Raw genomic sequence first — 21,129 nt, 5'->3', positions numbered from 1 at the left:
TCAGTGTTGCCATTTTATGTGACCTCTTGGAGTTTTTGGGTTTGAAATTCAAGACAGTGAAACAGTGCAAACTTTGAGATGTAATGTTGTTGTTTAATAAATATAAGTTTTAGTACATATATGAAATATTTTGCTGACTTTGACTAGTATCTTTAAGGTTGATATTTCTCCTTTTTTAAGTTGCTAATTGTTCGTTTTAAAACTAAATAACAAATAAAAATTTTATAATTGAATGCTACACACTGATTCCTAAAAATTAATGTGATATAGGGGATGGTATCAAATAATGACCTGCTCTGAGTATAAAATATATTAGGACATCCCTGCTTTCTAGAAATTCCAGAACTTGTCCTGGAAGAATTCAGACCTGAATTCATGACCTGGATGTTGCTTGGGTTGGTAGAGTTATCTTTTTCACATGCCATGGCAATTCAGGTCCCTCTGTAATCCCACTTCCACGCTACTTTTTTCCTCCCTGGTCCCCAAGACCTTCCACTCTGGACTGTAGTTCTCCTATCTATCTCATATTCCACAAAAAGAATTTTGAAAAACAGAGTCGACTATTTTTTTTCTTGTAAGCCTGCTACTTGTTTTAACCTCTTTCCACCTCCTGATTGCTTTATGGCCCCGCCTTAGTTCTTTGATATGTATAAAGGAAGCCTAAAGAGAAAGGGTGCTCTTGGAGAGTACAGATCAGTAGATTTGAAAGAATTGCCCTTCCCTGCCCCCAAATTAGAAACTGATCAAAACAATTGCTTAAGAAGTGAACTTGTTAAAGGACTGAAAAATATGAATCACTATCAGGGGATTTATCAGAAGTATTAAAAGAAGACATGTGGGACTGATTTCCAGAATAGGGAAGCATTATTTCCCTGGAAATAATCCAGGGAAAACATAGAACTGGGAAGTTCAATGTTTTGCAAGAAAAGGGAACAAATCTTAAGAGAAAAAGCCTCAGTATCTGCAAGACAACAGGACAATGGGGAATTAACATGGCATGTTTCTGAAAAACTGAGTTTGCCAAACTTGAGCTCTTTGCATATTTCAGTTTCAGGAGTTTCAGGATTAGCAAATACGGTGGCTTTAAACCACTTCACCTATCTTCCTGTCTTTGTTGGATTTGATGTGAAGACTAGAATAGGTGCAGCAGTGAGAAGTGGAAAGACCCTAAAATATGTGGTACAGCCCCAAACTCAGAAAAGAGGTTTTCAGCAAAGTACTGAAAGGATCTCTCTTTCTGGCCAGGGTTGTTTTGTCGATATTCTACAAAGAGAATCAAATAGCATAGTACTGGATGTGGGAATCCAGGTTTAAGAATCATCAATGTGATCGGGACCTGGGAGAATTAGCAGAGTCTGTGATCAATATAAATCTAGCTCTGCACACCTAGGCAGCTGAGAGTGTGAACTCAACTGGAGCTGACATGGGGAAGTAGGGTCCTCCGAGCCCAGCTGGCAGGGTGCCACCCTTTCAGGCACTGACAGAAGAGTGCGTTCAGAATAGACTCCCAGGACAGAGGAGTCTGGCGAAAAGTTGGAGGTTGTTAAACCAGAAAAAGAGAAGCGTCAGGGATCACACAAGTGACTTATTCATGTGTCTAAAGCACTGATTTGCAGACAAGAGACTGTTATGGTTTGAATTTTCCCCCCTTATATCCCCAAATTTGTATGTTGAAGAAAGCACAAGGAAGAGCATTCTAACAATTCAGACTGTCTGAGAGTGGGCTGAGCTGCCTTTTGGTGTAGTGTGCTTTGTAGTATTGAGGATGTGTAAGTGGAGATGGTGAGATGACCAGTTTCTGGAGCTATTATAGGGAAAATTCCCGCAAGCGGGGGATGCACAATCTCCAAGATTTCCTTCCATTGTAAAATTCTATGCTTCTAACTCCAAAAGTATTCAGAAACAAAAAATTAGCTGAAGATTTTAAATTAGGAATTGTTTTGTTTTGAGAAAGGACAGAATCTAAACGAGCGTTAAAAAAGAACCAGTAAAATGTAATTCTACACAAGAAAAAGTGCAAGTTTTTGTTTGTTTGTTTGTTTGTTTTGTTTTTTTGAGATAGTCTCACTCTGTTGGCCAGGCTGGAGTGCAGTGGCACGATCTCAGCTCACTGCAACCTCTGCCTCCTGGGCTCAAGCAATTCTCCTGAGTCAGCCTCCCGAGTAACTGGGATTACAGGCATGCACCACCATGCCCGGCTAATTTTTGTATTTTTAGTAGAGAAGGGGTTTCACCACATTGGCCAGGCTGGTCTGAAACTCCTGACCTCAGTAATCCGCCTACTTCAGCCTCCCAAAGTTTTGGGATTACAGGCATGAGCCACTGAGCCCGGCCAAAAAGTGCAAGTTTTCTTTTACTCTTAACCTAAGATCTACCCTCTTAGCAAAATTTTAGGTATACAGTATAATATTGTTAGTTCTAGGGACTACACTGTGTAGCAGCTCTCCTGGACTTATGCATATCACACAACTTCATGCCCTTTGTCTAACTTCTCCCCATTTTTCCCTCCCTCTGAACCTGGCAACCACCATTCTACTTTCTGCTTGAGTTTGACCATTTTAGATTCCTAACATAAGTGAGACCATGTAGTATTTGTCCTTCAGTGTTGGGCTTTTTTTGACTTAGCATAACCGACTCCAGGTTCATCCATGCTATCAAAAAGGGCAGGGGCTGGGTGCAGTGGCTCATGCCTGTAATCTCAGCACTTTGGGAGGCCGAGGCAGGCAGATCATGAGGTCAGGAGTTTAAGACCAGCCTGGCCAACATGGTGAAACCTCGTCTCTACTAAAAATACAAAAATTAGCCAGGTGTGGTGGGCGCCTGTAGTCCCAACAACTCGGGAGGCTGAGACAGGAGAATTGCTTGAACCCAGGAGGTGGAGGTTGCAGTGAGCTGAGATCGCGTCACTGCACTCCAGCCTGGGTGACAGAGCAAGGCTCCATCTCAAAAAAAAAAAAAAAAAAAAAAAAGAAGGCAGGATTTCCTTCTTTTCAAGGCTGAGTAGTATTTCATTATATGTATATACCACATTTTCTTTATTCATTTGTTGATGGACATTCAGGTTGCTTCCATGTCTTGGCTGTTGTGAATAATGCTGCAGTGAACACTGGAATGCAGATATCTTTTTGATATCCTGATATTCAGTTCCTCTGGAAAAGAGCAAGAATTAACAGGGAAAATATTTCAAGAACCCAATGGGCAGGAAGTACAAAAAGAACAATGATGCTGGGAAACACAGGGCATTGAATGATATTAAATATGTTGGATACCACATGGCTGCAGAACAGGGTGGCTTACTATGAGCAGTATCTGTAGCTTTAAGCCAGGCAGGTTCCTGTCCTGCCACTTAGGAGCTTTGTGGTCTTGGCCCATCTATGTAACTTGTCTGAACAAGAGTTTCCTCATCTCCAAAGTGGGACAATATCACCTGGATCACAGTGTCAGGAGGATGACATGAGACAATTAATGAAAACTGTGAGACATGTGGTAAGCATTTCAATAAAGAACTATGAATTTCATTACGAAATTAGCATCTGCAGAGCCAAAACCAAAGGCTTATTACACAGACACACACACAGAAACACAAATGACAAAATTAAAGCTTTAAAGGAAATTTCTTTGTTAGAGTCCATGATGTAAATAACAATCTTTCCTATGTCAGTGTAAAGTTTTATTTGCTAATATTTTATCTACACTAAATGATTAGAAATCATGATTTGCCACATCATTCCACATAGAACCAAGTGGAATGGTAGATTTTGATTTTTTTTTTTTTTTTTTTTAGTGGGTACCCAGCTCATTGGAAAGTACTGAAGGCGGTCCCATGTTTGAGACCGTTGGTCTGATGTATGGCCTTGGATAAACTTCTGTCATTCTTGGTTTTCTCATCTGCACCTAACTCATCAAGTTGCTGGGATGATGAAACGGGACTAGGCTTGGGCAAAGTGTTAAGTAGATGGCTGATGAGCATGTTACCATCGCATCCTCGTAGCTTTGGGATGGTGATTGTCGGTACTGGCTCTACCCCAAGGATAAATGCCATAAATACCATGGGAAGCAAGGGTCAATTTATCCTGATAGAGCCAGTCAAAACGAGGAATAATGTGTGAAATTAAGGTAGATGAGGCTTTCAGGAAAGGAAAAACTTCTGTTCAGCAGCATCTTTTAGATAATGAAGTGGTCTCTAAGGAAACTTGAAGGAGCTCTACACTGGAAGAAAAACTAAAATGGGCAACCACTCTGCCTACTGAAATATGAGTGATTTCAAAGCTTCTGCCTTCTCTTAGTGTTTGCCGCTTCTCCTTCCTCTTTTAGTTTTATGCTTTCCCCAAGGAAGTTCCTTGATCCAAATTGCTCTTTATTCGAGGCTGTGATTCATTCCTGGTGTGGTTTAAATTGGCCCATGTTTGTAGTATCTGATGCTAGAGTCGTGTCTTAAAAAGGCAACTGCCATCTTTCCCCCGGGTTCACCCTTGGTGCCTTCCTGTCACCCCACTCCCTGTTTGCAGCGGGCCGTCCACAGCCCGGCCTGGCTCTTCTGCCTCGGTGTCAGCCTCCTCATTAGGCATGCTCTGGAGCTGGCTGGTGTCAGAGCCGGCCGATGCATCAGAATGCAGGGCATGCGTCCGGCTCCTGGGAAGCTGCGCATTCCGCATGAAATATGAAGGCAACAGCCAGCCCAGGGGAGACCCCGGGTGGATTTAGACGAAGAGCAGCAAAGGTGGCTGTTGGGGGAGGGGCATTCTGCGGGGCCAGAGAGACAATGTGGGCACCTATCACATATTTTAAAGGCACTGCTTTGGTGGGGGAGAGGGATGCTGGGAGGGGCACCTGGTTTATGTATCCTCTTGGCCGCTCCTGACACACACTCCCTCGGTACATTCTTTCTGCATATGCTCATGGTATATCTGTGATTATGGTGATGTGCCCTTTTGAGATAGGCAGCCGGCTCACTCCCGGCTGTGCTCATCACTGATTCTTGAGTTTCTCTTTTGGGATAACCTGAAATCATAAGAGCAGTCCATGTGGATTTCGGAGCACCTGACAGTAAGAAACGTAATAAAAAGTAATGGTTGTCCAGCAAGCCCTGGGGATGCTTGTCACACACCACCTTGGGTCCACAGAGGTTAAGCGTGCTTAACAGGTGGTGACCTCAGATGGTTCCAAGGCCTGACATTAGAGCCTGTCCTCGTCTTTGTCCAGAATCCTCTAGTTTCCAGCCGAGGCTCCATGCTGGGGTTCCACCCAGCCATTCAGAGATGAGGAGAAAATCTTTCATCCCCACCATAGGCACTAAGAGATTACTGCATGCCTTAACATGTCATAGTGTAATGTGCTGTGCACAGACCCTTAGAACACTTACCCACTGTAGTGTGCTTGGTTTATGTGCAGGTCCCCGACTTAGCCACTCTATCCATGAAGAAGAAATGCTGTATTATTTGTTTTTATATAACCAGAGGATTGGTACATAGTAGGCACTCAATAAATACTGAGTAAATTATATTTGATGAGACTGTCCTCCCACACCATCACACATCCAAGTCATCAAAAAACACAAGTCTACTGGTCCCTCCAAATACAGAAATTTTGGGAGGCCAACTTTTCTCCCCTAACCTAAATCCACAATGCCCATTACAGTGTACTCAGGGTGTAATTCCATTTCATATCATTGATTACAGAGTATTACAGAGTATCCCACTTTCCTTTGATCAGAGAACATACACACACACACACACACACACACACACACAAAAGGAAGCAGTTTGCAATCCTTGTGTGTGAGATGAATGTGAAAGTTTTCTGCAAGAAACTCCAAAGCAGTGATGTCTCCTGAAAGCCCCGGCCATTTCTGGTTGGCAGTACTGCCTGCTGCATACCTTCCAGAGGTGCCATTCAGCAGGGGGGTTCCACACTGAGACTGCCCTGCTGGCTGGAATGCGAGGCAATATGTATGCTTGCTTTACATGTGGTAACTTTCAGTGTACAGAACTGTATTTGGTAACTTTCTGTTAATTTTATAAAAAGAAATTGGCTTTTTTTGTGAACGGAGAGGACTCTGTACTTCTGTTTGGTTCTTGATGCAGAGTAGCAGGAAGTAGCAGGATTCAACTAAAATGTTGGCTCTTCACAAGACCATAAGCTGCCTGGGAGCTGGGCATCCTCTCCCCTGTCCACGGCTGGGTTCCCAGTGGCTAGATCGTAGCTAGAACGGAGTAGACACGAAAACATTGGGTTGAGTGGAGACTTGGACCTGCACTGTCACTTAGAGAGGGTGTCACTTAAACAGATCTGTCTAGATCTGCACTTTCTGTAGCAGAGAAAGTATAGTGCCTTATCCTCTAGCCAGTAATATGTTCACGGTTGGGTCCCTTAGAATCCTCCCTGGTTTTGATATGCCTGTGCTGAGAGATAGATAGAATTTCTCTATTGGAGCTACCAAGTTGAGAGTAGGATGGTAATTCGAAAGAGTAGAGAATTAGGCTATTAGACAAAATATGGATATGGAGAGAGAAAGAGAGCCAGCCAAGCAGCTAGCCCTACCAGCATCATATGACTTTGTGTATTCAGCCCCACCTGGAGTTCTAACCCAGAATGTCTTGGTTATATGAACCAATAAATTACTGATTTATTTATTTGCTAGAGGTAATATAGAAGAAGGTTTTCATCACTGAAAACTAAAAGCAGTCTGACTGACAGCCTTGTTTCATACTATCCCTGTCTACTTTTAAAGCTGTTCATTTGCTCCATGCTAACAGCTAATCTTCTCTTTACATTTAATGCGTGCGGATCTCCTGAATGTCTATTTTCACATGGTGGTTATTTTGCCCAGTCCTTTTGCCTGCTTTAAGCACAACTGTGTTTAGGCCACATACTCAGGCCAGATATATCTGTCCCACGCAAAGACCATAGAGAGAAGGAATACTTCACATTTCTGGATAACAGACCTAACAGTTCCCGCTGGTGTTGGATCCCCCAGCCCTACAGCACACAGCACCCCTTTGACAGTACACATTAACTCTGCAGTGGACCTTGGGGATGGTGAGGACACCCTGCTCTGGACTCGGCTCTGCTGTGGCTGCACTCACTTGTTTGTTTGTAACTTGTTTTGTAGGAATGGGGCTTGGCCCCCAGCTAGACGCGAGATGGCTCGTTTTCAGAGAACAAAGGAGAGGGAAGAAGATAGGTGTTCCTTGAACATCTACTATGTGAGAAACACCACCCAGGGCACTGCACCTGCCTGTGAGTTACATAACTTCTCTTGTCCGTAGCTGTGGATGCAAAAGGCTCAGAGTAGTTCAGCAGTTGCTTGCACGTGGGCTGAGCTGTTTAGGTGACGGTGCAGGTCTGTCGAAATGCAAGCATCCATGCTTTTTCTACCACCAGCAAGTTGTCTCCTGGGGCCATATTTTGATTTGTTTTGTGCGGTCCAGACCACTCTGCACCATGCTGGCCACACTCTAAGTCCAATGATGACAGCACTGTGTTTATCTCCATTTCATACGAACCTAATGAGGAGGGAATGTTACAGAACACCCCCTCCATAGTGTGAGAGAATTGCTTGACATGGAGATGCACAGAAACAAGAGAAGTTTGGAGTCCAATTTCCTCTTCTGTGGCCCACCCAGCCTCTGGGGTTGAAAGCGTGGCCAGGGAAAGCGTTCTGTTCCCGTACACGCAGGGATGTCTCTGGCTGGGTGACAGCCACTGACCCACCTCGTTTTTGTTCTGCAGGTGTTGGAAAGAGGATGCAACCATCCCCAACAGGGAAGGGTGGAAAATGCTGCACTGTGCATGGGTGAGTGTGCACATGTGTGTATGTGTGGTCCTGGGAGCAAGGGCCGGGCAGGGACCAGTCTGCAAAACAACATTAAGAAACCGAAACATTTTCCACTGAGAAACAGAATTACTGCCCATGGAATTCTTACCCAGCCTGAGAAGCGAGCAGCAGCCCCTCCTTTTCATTAGTTAAACAAAGAGGGTTATTTTTCAAATGAAAACTTTCAGTGTGGAAAACAATCTAATTCCCGGGGCTTTTTGAGAAGTGAGATTCTCAGTGCTCCAATAAACATATCTACGTGGATATGCAGCTGCAAAGGCAGTGTCGGTGCGCTGACCAAACGAGAGGGCAGGCTTGGCCAGTGGGGGACACGGGGACTTAGCTTCAGGCCTCTCATAACAATCCCAGGTAGAAAGGCCAACAGAGGGAATGAACCGTGGCCTGGAAGATTTGAACTGTTCTGCGAGAGAAAAAAAGCGAAAACAAAAATATTTTCTGTAAGTCCATTAAATGATCTCCTTTCTTCCTCCAAGTCAATGAACTCCTTCTGGTCGGAAAATAATCTGCAAACTCAAGCCCTGCTTGGTTCAGTGGGGTGTGTTCCGCCTTATTGAATTCCTGGCCTTCAGAGATCTTTCAAAAAAAAAAAAAAAAAAAACTTGCACCCACTTATGAACCCGTGGGGTAATGTCAGCTTTCTTTTGAGGGGTTCTCTTCATGAAAGCTCCTGGGTACTTGCATTTGTTTAAGAGCGGGCAAGAATAGGAAGGCAGACTGCCAGGGTTCAAATTTTAGCTCTACCACTTAAAAATAGTGTGTGCTTACTCTCTCTGGACCTCAGCTTGCCCATCTGCAAACAGGAGTAAGAACGGTACCTACATCACAGAGTTTTCATAAAGATTACATGAGAAAGTGCTTACAAAGTGCTTACCACAGTTTCTGGACAAAGGAAGACCTCAAAGTGTGGCCATTATTATGAAGTCAAAGGGACATGGCATATGGTCACAGACCTGAACTTTTTAAATTAATAAATATCATTCTTTCAGGTTTCTACTTTTCCCATCTCACTAATGGAAAGCATGTTGTTTAAAAAAATAAAAGCAGACACAAAATAGCCTCTCTTCAAATCAGAGCTTCCTTCTCTAATCAGTCCGTGAATGTTTCGGGGAGTGCTCTATTTAACTTGGCTGGCCCCTGGTTTTGCCGTGAGTAATACACTGGGCTTCATTTCAAACTCCACACAGCCAAGATCACTGGATACTTGAGCTTCCCCAAGCTGAGTTGATACAGCTGCTCTGCCCCTGGTCACTGGTGAGTTGTCCCTGTGGATTCCAAAAGGTCTGAATACAAACAGGCCAAGGTGCATGGGCCAGCCGAGATGGTCAAGGACATGGGTTCCCACTGAGCAGGTGTCCAGGTGAGACAGACAAGACTGAGGAGGCCTGGGGAGCCCTACAGTGAAGTCAGAAGAAACTGAGACAGACAGAGGGTGGCCAGAGATTATGGAGAGAGGGGCCTCGCTGACACTTGGGGAGACCAGTGTTGCTTGGAGCATCCTTGCTCTTACAAAGGCAGCATAGGTGGTTGAAAGAAACCATCCTGATTTTGACGTTGCCACAATGATAAACGAAGGGCATGAAAACTCTCCAAATTAGGGTCTCTGAGACCAATTAGGTCAGACGATGAAGATAGATTTGCTTGAAAAATAAAATTGAGTATGGCTTTCTTTTAAACAAGGCTTCATTTCAAACGGACCTGAATAAACCAAATTCAATTTAGACATGTTATTCCCCAGGAACTTAGCTCTGGCATGAAATAAGGCTTGCCTGAGGCCACTTGAGAACCGCAGTCTGTGGGACAGCCCTGTGATGGACAAATAGAGTAGAGTGTTAATTTTGAGGCCTGTCGAACCCCAGTGACAGGCGGGCTGGTAAACAGATTGAAGAAGCTAATGACTATTTAGTGCTTTCCAGGACAGGAAATGTCTCTTTGGCTTCTGAGGTAGCAACACCCTTACCTTAAAAGGTTTGGATTGATGATCTGGGCCCAATAAAAGCCCCTTCTGAAATCTGTTGGGAAGCCCAAGCAGCATTTCAAAAGTGAAAGATAATGAAGATGTTCTAGAAGCAATATCATTATAAGTATACATTATAAATGATAATTACAATTAATCATATTAGCCTTCATAATCCCCCAACATTATAACTCAACAATGGTAGATTCATCTTCCTTGTGTTCTTTGGAAGAAGATTTTTGCCTTGAGCTACACATTTTCTCCTTTAATTTGACTTGTGGTGGTTTCTGCTTTCTGACTGATTCTCCGTCTCCTGAAGACAGGCATGTGATGGGGAGGGAGGTTTGGGAATTAGATGAAGTTGTGGGGTCATGATGCCCGGCAAGTTCTAGAACCCCAGAATTTACTTGGCCCCTGAAGGAGACACTCGAACAGCCCATCTTGTTATTTCAATGCTGTCAGAACTCTTTCTTTCATGCCTCTACATGTGAATCCATGGTCAGGCGTTCCCCAATCCCCGCTGCAATCTAAATCGGCCTCCTCCTTTTATTCTCTCTCATAATTCCCTCTTCTTTCTCCCCAAGCATTAATCATGGTTTTTAATCATTTCTTTATATTTATTTGATGTTTAGCTCCTCATTAGATATGAGCTCAATAGGAGAGGGGTCATGTCTACTTTGATCACTACCTAGCTTTGTGACTGGAATAGGCAGGCAACCTATAAATAATTGTGAATGGAAGACAGAGTGGGTTGCACAGCTTGGAAAAGCATGCCCCTTAGAATGAAGCCCTCTCTTCTTTCTCTTCCCATTGACACCAGACATTTACTATCTCAATATATGCCACAAAGGCCCACAGTGACTTCCCGCATGCTGAGTCCAGTGGCTTTCTGGGTCCTCATCCCTCGGTTGAGTTGTAGAGTCTGATACAATGAACTCTGCCCTACTAGAAAGCCTGCTTTCTTGGCTTCTGTGGCTCCAGGCTCCCCTCTCTGGTCTATGCTCACTGACTCCTTCCTCCTCTTATGCTGTAAAGGGACTAAAGCCCATGGTTCTGGACACAGCCTGATCACATCCTCATGCTGTTGCTTGTTTTGACAGCTCCTCCACTGTCTTGGCTCCAGCCTGCAGCTTTTGACTGGGACCTACAAAGTCAAACATTTCTAACCCTGAAACGCTCTTCCTCTTGCCTTCTTTTTCTTCTCCCAGTCACCAGGCTGGACAACTTAGTGTCTTTCCTCAACATCGTTCCTTATATTTTCCAAATAGTCAACATATGAAAATACTGAAAATATGAATTCGGTGTCTTCTCATTGTCTATGACTCAAATCTCTTGATTGTCCAGACCTTCCCATCTTTTCTCAATTTCCTGCTGCACATTATCCAAATTTCTCTTATGCCAATAATGCCTTTTCTATTAATACTGTCAACATTCTACCTTTCCTTTAAGGTTTATCTCAATTATTTCCCACTTTAAGTCCCCTGTGAGCTTCCCAATCAATTACAATTTCTCCTGCTTTTAACTACCAACACACTACATATCTTTCAGTTGGCATTCTCTTAACTTTTTATTGAATAATGAATTTCTATGTATTTGTCCATATTTTCAGGGAAAGCCTAATAAATAGATCCCTGGAGAGACTGACCTAGATAAATCAAAAGCATAAACTACTAACACACACACTAAAGACATTAAACAAAATATTAAGATGATATTATGAAGAATTTTATGTCAGTGGCTTTGAACATGCAGGTGAAATGGACACACGCCTAGAAAAATGCAAAAATTGACATAAGAAAAAATGGATAATTTGAATATTCACATATTTGCTAGAGAAATTGAATCTATAATGTAAATAGATTCCTACAAAGGAATCTTGAGGCCCAGACATTTGAGTGAGGAGTTATTTCAAACATATGAGGAAAAAAAAAAATGAGTGTTACACAAATTCTTCCAGGGACTGGAAAAAGGAATACTTTGCTACTCATTTTATGAGGCCAGCATTACTTTGATACTGAAACTTGTCAAGGACATTCCAGGAGAAGAAAATTATAGGCCAATCCTTCATTGTAATATAGATATGAAACTCTTGAGCAAACTAGTGGCAAACCAAATCTAGAGATATTTTAAAAGGATCAGATATCATGACAAAATAAAGTTTCTTTTAAAAATGCAAGGTTGGTTTAACACTAGAAAATCAATCAATATAATTCACCACAGAAACAAAATAAAGAAAAACCATATGAACACCTCAAAAGATGAATAAAAAGCATTTGTTAAAACTCAGAACTTGTTCATCACTGAAAATATAACTGGCATCAAATTAGGACTAGAAGGGAACCCTTTCATCTATAAAAGTCTGTACTTAATAATGAAATACGAACACTTCTGCTGGAGACCAGCAACAAGACGAGGATGTTCACTCTTACCATTTCTATGTAACAGTGTACTGGAGGTTCTAGCCAGAGTAGTTTAGACAAGAAAAAGAAATTTCAAAATTTAAGGATTAGAAAAGATACAAACCTGATAGTATCTGTGGACATGATTGTATGCATAGAATCTACAGGTGAATTATTAGAATGAGTCAGCAATTTAGCTAAACTAATGAATATAAAGTCAACATACAAAAATCAGCTATGTTTTTGTATACTGGCAACAAATATTAGAAAATAATACTTTAAATTTGATGCCATTTATAATAGTATTTAAAAAATTAAGCACCTTGTTAGGAATAAATTTAGCAAAATATGCACCTGACCAATGCACAGCAATGCAGAACATTGCAGAGAATAGTTTTTAAAGACTTAAATAAATGAGGAGATATAACATGTAAATTGGATTGGGAGACCCATAGTTGTAAAAATGTTAACGCTCTTCAAATTGGCCTATGCTTCCATGCGATACTAGTCAAAATCCCAGCAGATTTTCTTTCTCTGTCCTTCCTCCTTTTTCCCTTGCTTCCTCTCTCCCATGCACTCTCCCTTCCTCTCTCCCTTCCTTCTTAAAATTGGTAAGCTAATTCTAAAATTTACGTAGAAATACAAAGTGTCAAAAATAGTCAAGACAAAATTGAAAAAGAAGAAAGCTGAAGGACTTGTACTACCAGAGATATCAAAACTTACACAGCCACAGTAATTAAGGCAGTGTGATACTAGTGTAAATAGAGACAAATGGACCCATGGAACAGAGTTTTGAGGGTCCAGAAACAGAGCTGCATAGAAATCACCTAATTTACAACACGGGCACCACTGCAATGTAGTGTGTGAAAACAAATGTCTGGGTTAATTGGATTTCCAAAAGAAAAAAAATTCTTTGACCCCCTATCTCACACCATACACAAAAGTCCATTACAGATGGAACATAGGCCTAAGTATAAAAGGTTGAACAATAAAGCTTCTACAATATAACCTATGAGAATAACTTCATGAGCTTGGTGTAGATAAACCAAAACAATACATAAAATTTACTAACGATAAAACTAAAGGTTGATAAATTGGTCTCATTAAAATTAACAACTTCTCATGAAAAAAAGTAAAGAAAACACAGACATACATATACCACTCATAGAGTGGGAGAAGGTAAATATATCTAGAATATTTAAAGATTTCTTATATAACAACAACAACAAGATGACATATAATGTATTAAAAATGGACAAAAAATTATTGAACAGTCCCTTTACAAAAGAAGATGTCTAAATTTGTAACAAACTTATGAAAATATATAAAATTAGGTATGCAAACTTAAAATCACAATTCAATGTTAACCACTTTCTTATTAGAATATAAATTTCAGATAAATTGACAATGCTGAATACTGGTGAGAATCTGAAATGACGACAGGAATTCTTACATGCCATTAGCAGGCATGGAACCTGATGTCATGCTTTGAAAAATTGTTCTTGTGGTACCTACTGAAGCTAATGTACGCATAGTCTCTGATGCAATCAATCATTCTCCTAGATACATACACAAAGAGATCTGTGTATAAGGGCATCAAAAGTCACGCACAAGAATATTCATAGCAGTGCTATTTCGACTAGCCAGAGCCTAGAAGCAACACAAATGTCTATCAATCAACAGGAGAAAGGTGTTCATTATGGCATATATACAATGGAATACTATATAGCACTGAAAATAAACAAACTACCACTATGTGCAACAGTATGGATAAAAATTATAATGTTGAGTGAAGGAAGAAATGAAAAAATATTGTATGACTCTATGGACCTTCAATGACAGACAAAACTAATCTATACTGATGGCTGTCCAAAGAGGGGTCACTCTTGGAATGTGGGAGTAAAGATGGTAGCCTTACAGTAATGGCATTATTCCATGGCCAGGTCCGAATGGTGGTCACGTGGGTGTGTTCACTCTGAAAAATTAATCAAACTGTACACTAATGCTAGGTATCTTAGTTATACTTCAAATTATGAAGTTTATCAAAACAACCACAATAGCAAAAACCCTTTACCAGAGGATCTGTATGAATTCATTTAAGGCTTAGCATTCATTTTTGCAGGCTGCTTTGTGTCTTTGTAGTTCTGGGGCTGTCTGCCTTCATAGTTGCCATTGCTTCTGTCTGTTGACATGGTTCTATCACTTTCTTCTATTCAGCCCTTTGCTTTCAATCTAAACTTGATATATTCATCCTGATCCTTCATCTAGTTGTTTTGCCCTTGGAGCTAATTTCTCATTCTCAACTTCTATTTCAGCATTTCACAGCTGGGCATGGTGGCTCACGCCTGTAATCCCAGCACTTTGCGAGGCCGAGGTGGGTGGATCATTTGAGGTCAGGAGTTTGAAACCAGCCTGGTCAACATGGTGAAACCCCATCTCTACTAAAAATGCAAAAAAAATTAGCTGGGTGTGGTGGTGGGCACCTATAATCCCAGCTGCTTGGGAGGCTGAGGCAAGACAATCGCTTGAGTCCAGAAGGCAGAGGTTGCAGTGAGCAGAGATCATGCCATTGCACTCCAGCCTGGGTGACGGAGAGAGACTTCATCTCAAACAAACAAACAAACAAACAAAAACAATAACAACAACAACAACAACCAAAATCACATTTCACTAATAATGTCCCATGTCAGGTAGTTCTACTTCTTCTGTATATTTTGTTAATGGCCTTGGTTTAATTTTATTGCTTAAATGTTCACTCTTTCCTTAATTTTTTTCTGTTTTGGCCTAATGATTTTTATGTTCTTTTTATCAATAATTTCATAATTACTATTACATTATCTGCTTGCTTGGCAATCTTTTTTTTCCCTCCCAATATCACAACTTTTAAACAAAGCTTTCTCCTCTACTTTTCTGTCTAATGGGGTAGGAGTATGGGATACGGAATAGAAACTCTTTCTCTTTCTTCACCCTTTACATCCAGCAAAAAGAGCCAGGTGATCCGACATGCAATAGGAAAGGGGAAAAACAAAGATTCACAAATGATAACTAATACAAGTGCTTCCCAGTTGCCCAAAGTGGTTTAACATATTACTTTTCTTACAGATTTAGCTAAAAGGCCGTCTGACCTGAGCTCTTTTATGGAACTATTCGGCCTCGCTTTCATTTTTTCTTTTTAGAAATAAATCCTCTCGTCCTCAATCGGAGACAGTGAAGAAAGCAGGGAGTTTGTATTTTTTAAATCCATATGAAGGTTTTGGCCAGGAATTTTTCAAACACTAGAATAAATTTTTAATCTGGACTTTGATATCCAGACAAGCCCAGCTCAAGTTCTCTTGGGTCTCCTTTCCAAAGAACAGACTTCAAACAGACACTGCTCGCTGTCTTAGCAGAAAGGCACCACAGCAGCTGCGACGGCCGCGGTCGGCAGAAACTGCTGCACATCCTGCCTGTCTGGGCGGGACCTCCGTTTGCTACATTGCCCTGGGAACCAACACATCCTATTCCGTGGTCCTGAAGCAGCAGTCTTCAGAAAAGAAGGAAAGAGCATGGAGACCATCAGAGCAGGAAATGCTGGGTTCTCTGCTGACAGCATTCTCCATAACATGAGATTTAAATATTGAAGGGAAAAAGACAAACACTATTTTCTTCAGCATTATGATTTGCTTCTTATGCTTTTCATTTTTGACTTTGTCTTTGGAGTTTGGATTGTAGAAGAAATAGATGAGTTTCTTACAGATGAGACCCCAGAGAACCTTAGGTTTAACTCTTAGTTTAACTTCCTGAAACTTGACTGACAAAACAGAGACTGGGAAAGATAAAGAACCTTAGGTTTAACTCTTAGTTTAACTTCCTGAAACTTGACTGACAAAACAGAGACTGGGAAAGATTAAAAAAAAAAAAAAAAAAAAGTAACTGGTTTTCTGTGACAACTATAGAAGCAGTTCATTTCCTTTTGGGGACTTAGATGGGAGACTCTAAGTAATTGAAACTTAATACGCAGAGTCCCTCAGAAAAGTGACCACCCTGGGGCTGTTAGCATCATTTCCTGTTAATTGTCAACTGAAATAACCAGTTGTGGAAATGGCACAGGGGGCCTGAAGCAAAGGAATGTAGTCTAGCCCACTCATGGCCCATAATGAAATACAAATGATTTAACAGCAGTACTGACAAGGTTCTCCGAATAAATCATTTCCATTCTCACCACTTCACATCACTTACTGTAATTGCCCTGAGACAGAATGGGGGAGTTGGCCATTGGTTACCTAAGCTCTGCGACAATTCCCCCCTTTTACCCATGAGGACAAAATGCAGTTCTGACCTAATTAATTTACTCCTCTTCCCTAAGGCTGAAGCGCAAGTACTTTCTGTATCCCAGAGAAATCTAGAAGCTAAAGGTGGCCAGAATAATTGCAAAGTTTTTCTGCGAATCCTTTACCTGTGTGTTGACTCCGAAGTGGCCTCTCACAGGCCCGAGTGCTCAAATGAGCTGCTGTGGCTGGGCTTGCCTGGGTTTTCTACCAAATCACATGCCTGGATGGATCTGCTGTAGTTTGAATGTTTGTGTTGCTCCAAAATGCATATTGAAAATTAATTCCCAATGCAACAGCATTACGAGGTAGGGCCTTTTGGAGGTGATTAGCCTTCATGAATGGAATTAGTGCCCTTATAGAAAGGGCTTGAGGAACCGAGTTCACCCCACCCACCTCTGCTCTCCCTTCCGCCATGTGAGGACTCAGCACAAGGGGCCATCTTTGAAGCAGAGGCAAGGGCTTGCCAGACACCAAACCTGGCACGTTGGTCTTGGACTTCCCTGCCTCTAGAACTATAAGAGACACATTGCTATTATTTATAAATGACATAGTCTGTGGTATTTTGTTGCAGCAGCACAAATGGACTCAGATAAGACCCAATCATACCCGTCTGTGTATTTCTTCTGTTTTCTCCCAATCTTTCATCCCACTGCAATGAGGAAGGTTTGGAACCTCTCTTGCTTTTTTGGAGAGGCCAAGTTCCTCTGTACCCTTGATCAATAGGGAGTTATGAGTCTCTATGAACTATGCTTCTCATTTGAGTTAGTCATCCTGTTCTCTTGGCCTCCTCTGCACTTTGGCCATGCCTGCCTATGGGTTTGTCTCTCTCCTTTGGGCCGAGAACATCTGGGATGAGGAACCTGGTGTGTCTCATCATTGTATCTCCACCGTCTGCCAGAGCACACAGGGAACAAGTAACTGAGGAAAGCAAGGGAGGGGAAGGATGACAGGAAGAAGTCTTGGCCTACTGGCCCAGTTCCCTGGATGTGGTTGCAAATTGATAAGATGCACAGAAACAGAACTTCCAGGGAAGCTTCCTGGAAAATCTTTATGCTTAGACGGAAACTCTGATATGAATGCCACCACAGTATTCATAGGATCAGGATGGCTGGGCAGCCATCTCCCCCAAGACCTGCCAAGACCGTGTCATTTCCTTATGTGATGCTGACAGTCTTAGCTCTGGCCCTTAATACCCAACACAAGGTGGCCATCCTGGACAAAGCATGTGTCTAGGCTCCTGCTGGCCCACTCACCATCATTCCACTATGGCCAAGTAATCATTCCCAAAGGACAGATCCTGCCACTGTCCTATTTAAGAATCACATGCTCATTCCCAGGCCCCATCTGGCCTTTGAGGCTCTCCAACAGTGCCTGTGGCACCACACAACCCTCCAGACTCCCCGAGGATGCTCAGGCCAATCCTCCCGTCCCCAGTGTGCTTAGTCCTAGCTTGGACCTTTGAATGCTTCTGGGCCAATAGGTATTCATCTGTTATTTCAAGAAACCTTTCTGAGGAACCATATCCAGCTCATCTTTCTCACACTTTGTATGTCCTCCTTGCTTGGGTGCCCCATCTGGACCACATCCTGCCCATCCTTCTCCTCCCTATGCATTCCTTTTGTCAATGCCTATTTTGAGAACCTTACCAGGTGCTAGGCCCATACCTTGTGAGAGGCAGAGCTGAGATTCAAATCCAGATCTAAACAACCCAAGAGCCTGGCTCTCCATCACAACACTCCATGGCACCCCCTGCCCCTGAGGCCTCTTTGACCTTGCCTTAGCTTCCTTTCTCAGTGAAAAGAGATGTCACTTTGGCCAGAAAAGCAGGAGTCCCACTAGTTGGGCTGCAGCCCCCAGGATCCATCTCTTCAACAGTTTCCATGCACCAGTTGTGGAAATAACATCACTGTGCAGGCCCGGGAGACACCTTTCTTGGAGTGCAAGACAGCAGAAGGGCTTCAAAAAGGGACCCAAGATTGGGATAGAAAGAGGAAAGCATTCCTCCCTCTCATCCAGTGCTCCCTCACACACTAAGTGGAGACCCTTCCTTTGGGAAGAAAGGAAGCAAGTAAAGGAGATGGAGGCAGTGGTGAGGAGGGGACTCTGCCAGGCAGAATGATGAGTCACCATCCAGATCCATGGCACAGCGGCTGGACCAAGAAAAGGATAAGGATTTGGACACAGGGGCTGGTACCCTCTTCCCTTCGTAGCTGGCTGAGCCTGTGGAGAAGGAATCTCTGGACGTGGGCCTGAGGTTTTGAGTTCACTCATAGTGGGTGACAAAAACGAGATGGTTATTTGTTTTATGGTAATGATCTCCATGAGGCTCCAAACTCTAGGACTGCAGTCGGCACGCCACGCGGCAGGCCTTCCTTCGGGTGCGAAAGGATTTCCTTGGTTTGGTGGGATTCGTTTGTTTTTTAAATGAGGCTGTTTATTTTCTCTTCTTTTAATGTTATGATTTTTTTTCAGGCTCACAAGGAAGATACATAATGTACAGCCGAATCTACAGTCTCCTATTTTGTCAGCTGCTTGTGTTGATTAAAACTTCAATAAAGATCCTGTGATAAAACAGAGCTATGTTCAAAGGATCCTGTTATGTTTTTAAAGGGCTGAGCTTGGCAGAAAACATGTAGAGTATAGCTTTGTACCTTGGTATTTTTCCCCTTTTCCAGGTTAAAGAGGGAGAAGTGGAGGAGACACATACAGTGGTTTCTAGTACCTGTGGGATCGTTAGACAGCATGCGTTTGACCAAGTCCCAAATAATAAGCAGGGTCCAACTTAAATGCATGAAAATTGTTTATCAAACTGGTGTTAAATGTGTGACCAAGAACAGACCTCCTCCCATAAGTCTGACTGACAGCCTCTCTCTGCAAGAGGTCCCAGCCTAACAGGGAAGGGGAGGAGGCAAGCCAGGGGCAAAGTGAGGACACAGAGCTCCAGGAATTCCATACCCAGTGATTCACCCAACTCGCCCAAGATGATCCATTCCAGCAAGATTCCAATAAACTGCCAGTAACACATCGTTTTAAAGCTCAGAGATCACTGAAGGCTCTCAAGGGAGAGGTGTCTGTCAGTGGTGCCATCTACTCCCCAACCCCTTTTCCCCCTTCCCTCCAGACAGCCCATTCCTGGCAGCCGCTGAAGTCTCTCAACTCCTCTTATTCTGCAAGAGGCTGAGAAATGGATGTACGTGAACATCAGGCTTGCCAAAGTCACTGACTTTATGCAAAGCAGGCAAGTGCAGTCAAAACACTTACAGCAATCAATTCGAGTTGTTGGGTAAAGTTTTTTCCGTGTCCCATACATTATTGAACAGTTAATTTCGTCTTTGTGCCTGCAAGATATTCCAGCTCTCAGATGACAGCTTTATCCATTAAGGAGTGCCTGGTGACAGCCGTGCAGCAAGAGCTTTGCCAGCCTGGCCTGCCGAGAGGCGCGCCTGCATCACCACCGAGAAATCCTGGGACACATCAACATCTTAATCAATATGCGAGAGTCAATTACCGGGGAAGCTAGGGCTTAAGCAGGAGCTGATGATGAGGTTCACGTGCAAATGGACTTGATCAATACGCAGCTGAATCTCACACGTGGATTCACATCAGTCCTCCCACGGCACCCAGTCCCCAACTGTCAGGCCAATCACACCGCTCCTAGCCTCCAATCATCTGCTTTACTAGATTCATTACTGTTTTTCTTTGATTCATTCCTTTGATAAAAGTATTGGGAACAGAGAAGCAGAGTTGAGGGAAACAACGAAAACGTGATGACTGGACTCATGGAGAACTCATGGAGAGTTCTGCACAGAGCCTGGATGGACTAGCTCAAAGACCAAGAGAGAGGGTTTCTGCAAAGATGTGTTCTCTCCACATTCATTTTTTTTTTTTTTTTAAACAAACACTTCTTAAAGGAAAAACCAATTCAGCTTCTGAGGGAACAATATTTCTTTTTTACTGATGAGAAAGCTGAAACTTAGAAAGGCCAAGAGCATAGGGTTACACAGAGTGGATTCACAGCAGGGACTAGAACCAAGGTCTTTAGATTCCAATATCTACCTAATCTAATTGAATCACATAGCTAAGGGTTAGAGGACTGCAAAAAATGCAAGAGCCACATGAACTAAGAAAGTGAAAGGGAAACAGTGTTTTCTTGGTTGCAGTAGGAATTTCCAGTTGGACCTTAGAGAGTGGAGAATGACTTGACAAGGGTCAGGGAAAAGGCAGTATTCTCTGTGGGATGGGGGCCTGGGTGTCTGATGAGCAGCACAGAGCCACGTTAATGGCAAATGGCTGCACTAATGCGGAAGGGGATGCACTAACAAACAGGAGGTGAGGTGGATGGGCAGGGCAGGGCAACGTTATTCAAGTCAAGTTAGTCATTGTGTTTGGAACACCAAGGCCAGGATGGCAAACTTGGACTTTATCCTCTAGGGCAGTCTTTCTTTCTTAAACTAGTATGCTGTGGAACACTCGCCCTCTAAGATGCTTCACAAAAGAGGGCAGCAACGTGAAGGACACTTGGAAGACGCTGTGTACAAAGTCATCCCCTCAAAAAAGTCATACTACACTCTAGCACATTGTCACACTCTGAGAAGACCTAGAACAAAGACATGTCTTTAGCTTTCCTCA

General features: G+C 42.7%; 1 long non-coding RNA gene across 1 annotated transcript in view; it reads left to right on the top strand.

Moving 5' to 3' along the window:
• Window positions 1-19,076, top strand: part of LINC03041 (long intergenic non-protein coding RNA 3041) — a 72,379-nt gene extending 53,303 nt beyond the window's left edge. The window contains exons 2-4 of the long non-coding RNA NR_171034.1: window positions 7,112-7,239; window positions 7,732-7,795; window positions 18,973-19,076. This is a non-coding gene — a long non-coding RNA (long intergenic non-protein coding RNA 3041). The remainder of the gene's footprint in view (window positions 1-7,111; window positions 7,240-7,731; window positions 7,796-18,972) is intronic.
• The last annotated feature ends 2,053 nt before the right edge of the window (window positions 19,077-21,129 follow it).

The sequence above is a fragment of the Homo sapiens genome, chromosome 9 (genome assembly GCF_000001405.40).
Source record: "Homo sapiens chromosome 9, GRCh38.p14 Primary Assembly".
In the NCBI taxonomy this organism is placed as follows: domain Eukaryota; kingdom Metazoa; phylum Chordata; class Mammalia; order Primates; family Hominidae; genus Homo; species Homo sapiens.
The sequence above is the reverse complement of the archived record's forward strand: the minus strand, read 5'-3'. Positions and strand labels throughout refer to the sequence as shown.